This window comes from Homo sapiens, chromosome 20 (assembly GCF_000001405.40).
Source record: "Homo sapiens chromosome 20, GRCh38.p14 Primary Assembly".
Taxonomy (NCBI): domain Eukaryota; kingdom Metazoa; phylum Chordata; class Mammalia; order Primates; family Hominidae; genus Homo; species Homo sapiens.
In genome coordinates, this window is record NC_000020.11 from 60,570,751 (window position 1) to 60,580,026 (window position 9,276).

General features: G+C 39.0%; 1 annotated feature.

Annotated features, from left to right (window-relative positions):
* Positions 8,369-9,276: an enhancer, noted in NCBI's record as "OCT4-NANOG-H3K27ac-H3K4me1 hESC enhancer chr20:59154177-59155084 (GRCh37/hg19 assembly coordinates)". NCBI's record gives its function as "activates a minimal SCP1, AML or CMV promoter by ChIP-STARR-seq in primed H9 embryonic stem cells {active_cell/tissue: H9 hESC(primed)}" and the evidence as "EXISTENCE:reporter gene assay evidence [ECO:0000049][PMID:30033119]".

A 9,276-nucleotide genomic window follows, 5' to 3' on the forward strand; every position in this document is an offset into this window, starting at 1 on the left:
GAGTATTGGCCCGAGGTCCAGGGTAACTCTGAATATCCAAGGCCATTTTTTATGTATCTCTGAACTGGGTTGATTGCATAATTTAATTTTTAATTTTTGTTTTTCTTTACATTAAAAACCCATCTGTGAACCTCAGGCCTATTTTCCTTTGAAAATGACTAATTTCATATTTTATGCATGCACAATGAATGCTGATGAGTCTTCATTTGTCACCAGGCGCCTGTGACTGTCACAATGGTTCCCCTAATATACCTTGCAAAAGAGCCAATGGGATCACTAATAATGCTTGCACACAAAGGAGGCTCTTCCGCACGCCGCGTCCATCTGGCTTAGTGACCTCCTTTGTGCTGCAGGTGTGCCAGTGTGATTTATGCTCACACTTCATGCAGTCCTTTGCCAATCTAATTGCCTGGCCATTAAAGAGGATGAGAAAATTATGTAGACACCCAGACACATCCATCTCAGGATATATGGCCGATCAGCTGCTGGTGGCTAAAATAATGCAGATGCCTAATACCATTTTGAATATTAATATCCACCCCAACTTTCGGCAACATTATAATTTGGCAGTGCTCAGTGGCACTTCTGCCTTTCCAGCCAAATGACATTTGTCACACTCAAGTAGGAACAATTATTAATAATTTTCATTTCATTAGAAGCACTACAATAAAATGTCAACAGCCTTAAAAGTGCATCAGAAGTGTACAAATTAATTTTGATTTTCTGAAGTGTAATTACTTTTGTAAGTACCAGACTGTGTAATCACGTTAGGCGTTATTACTTGTGCAATCAATTATACTTAAATGCACTTATCTGTTTTCAAACACGATTTTCAGAGGTCACCTGTTGGTGGGGTTTTTTTTTTGAGATTATAATAGGAAGAGCCTATCATTCATATTGGACATGCAGTGACTAAAAGATAGGTAAGGCAGTGATAAGTTAAAATATAATAGCAAACGTTGTTTTAAAAGAGACCACTCCCTTCTTCCTATGAATTTTGGGCTTAATTGGTTCTACTTTAATTGTGGGTGGGGTATTACACACAGTGACTAAAAAATATTTTCACATGGGAAGAGAGTAGGGACGTAGTTCATATCTACTTTAGATTGTGGGTGTTAAAATCTTGGGTTCCCGTATCCGACTTTCTGCCTAGCTAGCCATGTACCATTGCTTGTGTACAATTTGTGAACCAAAAACTTGGGTTCCCGTATCTGACTTTCTGCCTAGCTAGCCGTGTACCATTGCCCCACGCCTTCAAGCTGCAGTCTGTTTCATTCCCATGCAGGTGATACAGTGCCCGCTTTACGGAGGCCATGGCCTTCTTTCCATCATTGGTTATTTCATCTTTATTGTGAAGCACAGTGCAGAGTAGATGCCTAATAAATATGTTTTGAATGAGTAAATAAGCGTTGTCATAAAAATTCAATGATAAGATGTAGATGTACTCATTAACTGTTAGCAAGTATTGTTGTTGTTAATCATCCCACTCAATCTAGTATTAATAATAATCATTAAAAGCTTAGAAAAATCAATGGATTCTCTTCATTTTGGCCAGGAGAAAGAGCAAACTCAATAAACCCATGGAAAGATTCTACCCACCACTAATCATTAAATACATGCAAAATAAAGGATGAAATGAATACTTTCACTGCCTAAATAGCCAAAAAAAAAAAAAAATCATTAACCTCCTGAGATGTCAAGGGGTGGGGACATGGGTACCTGTGCACACAGCTGGCAGCAGTGTAAATCAGCTCAATCCTTCTGAAGAGTGATTCGACCAAATGTATAAAAATTAAACATGTACAAACTCTGTGACCAAGGAATTCTACTTTTGGTGTCTAAGTTACAGCAATGACAACTAGGCAGACAAATATGTATAAACAAAAGATTCTTTTCAGTATTGTTTGTTTATAAAAGGAAATCACCATACATGCCTTTCAATAAGACACTACTAAATAAGTTATGATACATCCATAGAACATAATTCTATGTAGCCTTTAAGAAGAAGAATCTTTATGGATTGACATGTAAAATTTTCTAAGATACAGTCTTAAGTGATAGAACAAAATTACTATCCAACATATATAGCAGGTCTGTACAGCATTTTAAACAAATAATAGACTAGATGGCATAAACCTAAGAAGAAATCTAAAAAGTAAATTATAGATCAAACATAAACTGAGTTATGAAAAAATGTAAATTATATCTTTTGGGGGATGGGCATGAAAGGAAATGGTTGTTACTTATTTCTTAACATATTTTAAGGCTGGCATTATGTGTTTTGATTTTTTGTGTTCATAAGAAATTTAAATAAATGCAACAAACTTATTTAAAAATGGTTTTGAATGTGTGAGAGCTCTCTTGGTAAGTAACCAATCAAGTCAATAAATGAAGGATAGCCAAGTCCATCTGACTCAACCCCCTTTCTCATTTGGGCTGTGTTCCCAGGCTTGCCACTTAATTGGCTACTAGCTGGAATTGATTAGCAAATGTACCAGTATAAATGGAAGCCTCAGGAAAAGGGATTGTCAAGTTCATATAATTTATATGAAGTATCATTTTCTTAAATTTCAACATTCTCAGGAGCTTCCAGTAATATAATTCTAATAAGCAGGACTGATTGACTTTCCAAAAATATGGACAAAGTCAACAAAATTACGTCCTTGCCTCAGAATGATTTCTGTAGCTGTTAGCTAAATGGCTGCCAAAAAGTTATAATGAAATGTTGAAGGCCTGCTTCCATGGAGATGAAAATAATGACTCTAGCTCTTTGGAACTAGGAACGGAAGTGGTGTTTTGTTTTACTTTGTAGAATCAATTCCATTTGATGTCCATGAATGAGGCGTCCGTCTCACTTTTACTGTGTTGACTTTTAAGGATCTCATTTTAAAACATCATATCAGTAAGTAAAATTGTAATTATAAGAAAAATGATGAAATCATAGAATTAAAAAGTAAGCTCTATTTAAAAAAATTAATCTACTACTTTAAAATAAAAACTTGCATTGACCTGACAACTTGGTTAATGAGGGATTTGCCAAATTGTTTAGTTTTATCGCTTGCCAAGTGTGTAATTACTTTGCTTGGCACTTTTTAAAAATGTTATTATAAACTCTTCTTCCAAAGAAAATTATGCAACATAATTATTAACTCTAAAATTACACACACATTTATCTGCTAGTATTTGCTTTCATGCTTCAGCTGTCATTTAGACATCGGCTGCTTGAATCATGCACCTGTTCACAATGATGTTTTCAATGTGTTTCTACTAATTTCCCATTATATGGTAGAAAGCCAAACACTGGGAAAGATAAAGTAACAAAAACTGGGCTTTAATAGGAAATCACTTCTCACAAAATTGGAGACCGTGATCACATTCACATGGAAGGGGCCTTTTGGATCTGCATCCATCTAGGTCGTGCTACTCACGGCCTGTGCGATACATTTTCATCCATGGTGAATATTTCAACCAGAACCACACTTCAAACCTGGACACACAACGGCAAGCTGGCCTACATGCAGGTAGATTTTGTTCTTGCCTTCTCTTGGATGTTGTCTTTGAAAAGGGCAAAAAGAATACCTTTTGTTTAATAGACAGAAGGAAGATGTCCATGGGAAAAAGCTTCATGAAAATGAAAACCTGTATTTAAAGGTGGTCTTGACTCAGATTTCCTGCTTTGATTTCCTTCCATCTAATGCATCTGCTGTCTGCTAACCAGGAAGCTCCCAGAGCTAGGCCTCACGACTGCCCAGCCTCCACACCTGCACAATACTCTGCTCCGAAGATGCCCGTCAGCTATTCATAAGTCGGCTGAATTACTGTATTCTCTTTTCACTTCAGCTCATCAGTGAAACAGAATGGAGGGACTCTATGGGCTGAACTGTGTTCCCCCAAATTCATATGTTGAAGTCCTAACCCCTAGTCCCTCAGAGTGTGGCTGTAGTTGCAGAAAGGACCTTGAAGGAGGTGATAAGGGTTAAATGAGGTCATTAGGTTAGGCCCTATTCCAATTATCACTGGTGTTCTTGTAAGAAGAGCAGATTAGAACAGAAACATATACAGAGAAAAGACCATGTGATGACATAGGGAAGAGACGGTCTCTGCAAGCCAAGGAGCAAGGCTTCAGAGGCACCTGCCCTGGAGATACCTTGATCTCAGCTTTCAAGCTCCAGAACTACGAAAAATTAAATCTCTATTGTTTAAGCCCCCCAGTCAATGGCTCTTTGTTATGGTAGCCCTAGAAAATGAATACTTTGCTCTACTTTATAGAGACCTCTTTATGAGAAGCTGTGGGATAAGTTGAACTAACTCCATGGAACCATCACTCAGAATTCCAAGACAGAAGAGAATGGATTTAACTGTGGCAGCATGGTGGAAATCATCCATAAAGCAGTGCCAGCTCCCAAACTCCTGGAGATTCTGGTTGCCTGGATGACCATCCCCAAGGAAAATGGGAAATGCATAGCCCATGGATCAGGGTGATATGGTTTGGCTCTGTGTCCCCACCCAAATCTCATGTCAAATTGACTCCCAATGTTGAGGAGGGACCTAGTAGGAGGTGACTGGACCATGGGGGTGGATTTCCTTTTGCTGTACTCACAATAGTGAGCTCTCATGAGTACTAGTTGTTTAAAAGTATGTAGCACATCCCCCCTTTGCTGTCTCTCTCCTGCTTTGCCATGTGAAATTTGTGCCTGCTTCCCCTTTGCCTTCTGCCATGATTGTAAGTTTCCAGAGGCCTCACAGCCATGCTTGCTGTATAGCCTGCGGAACTGTGAGTCAACTCAGCCTCTTTTCTTTATAAATTACCCAGTCTCAGGTAGTTTTTTATAGCAGTGTGAGAACAAACTAACACATGGGGCAACCACAGCTTTTTTTGTAAGAGAATGTGCTCACCTGGACAACTTAGACAGCTTTGTGGTCATATACTGATCCCTCTCCATGGATCAAACCTCTCAAAATGTCAAACTTCCCAAAATGTCAGATTAAAGATCTGCTGAAATTTTCTGGAAATTTTATAATTATTGGGCACAAAAGAATTCTAAAAATGCACAAATCTATGCACATTGGTCTTGGCCTCCCAAGACTTGAGAAGCAACCGTTATCTTCTTCTAAAGTATCAAGCTCCAGATGTTGGATTAGTTGCCCTCCTTTTGCAGAAGTGTGATGGGAGGTCAAACTCCAGCCCCAGGAGTGTTCCATGTCGACTGATCATCTGAGGCTGAACAGGAAAGTATTTGCACTGAAACAGGTTTTACTGAATCTTTAGATATTGAACGAGGATGTATATCACTCAAACAAAATAAAAAAAGCAAACAGTATTAGAATTCTTGAGGCACAGTGCTGAGTTATTTTTACTTTTACGGAACCTACACTTCCTAAATTGATTGCTTCGTTTGCCTCTGATTTAGCAGTAGAGATTCATATTTACTTCTCTGGGGGAAAAGGACACAAAGAGGCTTTGAAAACATAACCTTTTCTTTCCTGTGACAAGTGCGAGTTTATCAATACAGACCCACTGTGACCAGGCTCTCTTGTGTTTTCTAAGATATTATTTTGCTTTTTTGCTGTATGCCTCCACAGATAATCCAATGAAAATCACATGCAAATCTGCATGGTGCATTCTTAGAAAACATTTTTAGGTCCCATTTGAAGAAAGAGAGAGACATATTTTCACTTTTACACCTTCTGTTCCCAAATGAAAACATTGACTTGAAAGCCAGCCTTGCAAACAGCTTTCCACTTAAACAATAAAAATGCACAGAAATCCTTCCAGTGCTACCAGAAGTTATGTATCCGCTATGTAGTTCAGGTGTTTGTAGCCATATAGGATATATGAAAATACATAAAATAAAATCAAAGAACTATATTACTTTTCATATTCAAACTGATGTAGTAAATAAAAATATCAAGATTTTCTATTAAAATATTCCCTTAGCACTTACAGAAAAACCAAATTAGCGACAAAGAAAAAGATAATTCTGCTTATTTGCCGTTAGGTAATGAAAGCAGACTGATGTAAGAAAATCATACATCTCTCTACGTTGTATTCACAAGGGGGACCTGCATTTTTCCAGAAAGAAGTCACCCTTTTAACTGTAGGCAAATGTTAACAGTGACAGTACTGGTTCATAGGAATAGTGGAATATTCAAATAGCGAGTCTTAGGGCCTCATCATTGGAGATCTGAGAGTGACTACAAACTATAAACCATGAGTGTGCATTTCACTTTGCCAAATATGTTATTTTTTTAGAGATTAACTGGAAAAAAAGATAAAGTCAGGCACATATTAATTTCTGAATTCAAATAAAGTGGTATAACACTATACCTGGAACAACCTCATTTTAATTTCCACTTGGTTAGACAACATGCTCTTAGACTTGCACCTTACAGTTCTCTTTTATTATAGCTCAAATCTCACGATGAGCAGAGAGATCATGCTGCTCATCAGATAGAGCTGCTCTAATATCATCCCAGCTCTGGAGATGTCTCGCATTAACACTTCACAAGACTCATCAGTTTCTGCTATCTAGTTCAACTCAGGAACAAAAAGATATACCATTTCTTTTAGTTCATATTTAATAAATTTACTGTAAAACTCACTGTCTAAAAGAATGCAGAAATTATATCATGTGCTTATAATTCCTGGAAAACTTTTTTTTAAAATCAGCATCATATACTTCAAGTTACAGATGGAGAATAAATGGAGTCTGGGATGCGACAGGAGCATTTGCAGCTGCTTTTTCTCAAAAGCAACATTTTCTGAAATTTTTCTGATTTTCTAAATTGTTGTGATCACACAGTTTTCAGGTAAGACAACAAACCTTCCTTTTCACTAATAACTTTTCCTTTAGGAGAAACAATTCTGGGGATATATTATCCCATTGTTGCCAGAAAGGGGTCCCAATCCAGACCCCAAGAGAGGGTTTTCGGATCTCGCACAAGAAAGAATTCAAGGCAAATCCATGCAGCCTTGTGAAGGCAAGTTTATTAAGAAACTTAATAAACTAAGTTGAAAGCAAGTTTTTTAAGAAAGTAAAGGAATAAAAGAATAGGTACTCCATAGACAGAGCAGCAGCATGGGCTGTTCAGCTGCTTATACTTATTGTTACTTCTTGATTATATGCTGAACAAGGGGCAGATTATTCATGAGTTTTCCAGAAAAGGGGTGGGCAAGTCCTGGAACCCGAGGATTCTTCCCCTTTCTGGACCATACAGGGTAACTTCCTGATGTTGCCATGGCATTTGGAAACTGTTATGGCACTGGTGGGAGTGTCTTTGAGCAGCTAATGCATTATAATTAGCATATAATGAACAGTGAAGAAGACTATAGGTCACTTTCATTTCCTTCTTGGTTTTGGTCGGTTTCTTTACTGAAACCTTTTTTATCAGCAAGGTCTTTGTGACCTGTATCCTGTGCTGACCTCCTATCTCATCCTGTGACTTAGAATGCCTAACCTCCTTGGAACACATCCCAGTAGGGCTCAGCCTTATTTTACCCAGCCCCTAATCAAGATGGAGTCGCTCATGTTTAAATACCTCTGACACGAAGAGAAATTACCACAGTGAAGTTCCATGGTATCAGAGAGGGGTGTGAGAATGAGAAAAATCTCATCAAGATGGTGCCCAAGTCCCTGGGATGGAGAGGAGTACTTTAACCTATCGACAAAAGAACCAAACTCTGTAAAATAGTAAAGAGATTTATTCTGAGCCAAATATGAGTGACCAAAGCCCATGATGCAGCCCCAGGAGCCTCAGGAGGTCCTGAGAACATGTGTCCAAGGCGGCTGGGTTCACCTTGATTTTATACATTTTAGGGGGGCAGAAGTTACAGGCAGACATAAATCAATCCATGTAAGGTGTACAGTGGTTCAGTTTGGAAAGGCAGAACAACTCGAAGTGAGGTGGGGCAGGGAACTTTTAGGTCATAGTAAGGGAGGAGACCCCCTCTCATATTGCCTTATGCCCAATTTCTGCCTCCAAAGAAAGAAGAAGTAAAAACTAAAAGGCAGGAATGAAATCCACAGGCAGACAGGCTGGCGCTGCACCCTGGGCCTGGTAGTTAAAGATCGACCCCTGACCTAACCGGTTATGTTATCTATAGATTCCAGACATTGTATGGAAAAGCATTGTAAAAATCCCTGTCCTGTCCTGTTCCATTCTGATTACTGGTGCTTGCAGCCCCCAGTCACGTATCCCCGCTTGCTCAATCAATCACAACCCTCTCACGCAGACCCCCTTAGAGTTGTGAGCCCTTAAAAAGGACAGTAATTGCTCACTCAGGGAGCTCGGCTCTTCAAACAGGAGTCTTGCCGATGCTCCTGGCCGAATAAACTCCTTCCTTCTTTAACTCGGTGTCTGAGGAGTTTTGTCTGTATCTTGTCCTGCTACAATAGGTGGATTCAAAGATTTTCTGATTGGTAATTGCTTGAAATAGTTAAGTTATTATCTAAAGACCTGGAATCAATAAAAAAAGAAGTGTCTGGGTTAAGATAAGGGGTTGTGGAGATCAAGGTTTTTATTATGCAGATGAAGCCTCTGGGTAGCCAGCTTCAGATAGAATAGAAGGTAACTGTCTCTTATCAGAATTAAAAGGTACCAGACTCTTAGTTAAGTCTCTCCTGGTCCCAGAAAGACCTGAAAAGGGAAGAGGATTCTCTACAGAATGTAGATTTTCCCCACAAGAGACAGCTTTGCAGGGCCATTTCAAAATATGCCCAAGAAATGTATTTTGGGGTAAAATACTTTGATATCTTTTAGGGCCTGCCATCTGTCATGTGATGCTATACTAGAGTCAGGTTGGAATTTGATATTTTATTGCTACAAACAGTCTGTTTTGTCAGCCTTAAGATCTCTTTTTTAATGTTAATGCTGGTCAGTTGTGCCTGAATTCCAAAGAAAGGAGGGCATAATGAGGCATGTCCAACCCATCCTTTCTATCATGGCCTGAACTAGTTGTCAGGTTTACTTTGGAATGCCCTTGGCCAAGAGTGGGGCCCATTCTGTTGGTTAGGAGGTCTCCAATTTTATTTTTGGCTTATAAAGTCAAAGATGGACAGAAAGTACGCTAGAGGAGTGGGAGGGCTGTGCAATGCCTTGAGGTCTGAAACAGGCATCAGGAGGATCCTCTCTTTGCTGTCCCAGAGAAGAGTCTTCTAAACATCATCCCTTGTCACTGAACCCACTGAGTTCAGGAAATGAACCAAGTGAGGAAATGTGGAGTGAGGAAATATGGAGTAAGCAGACCCCCACTGGATAATACTTTTTGTCCATTTA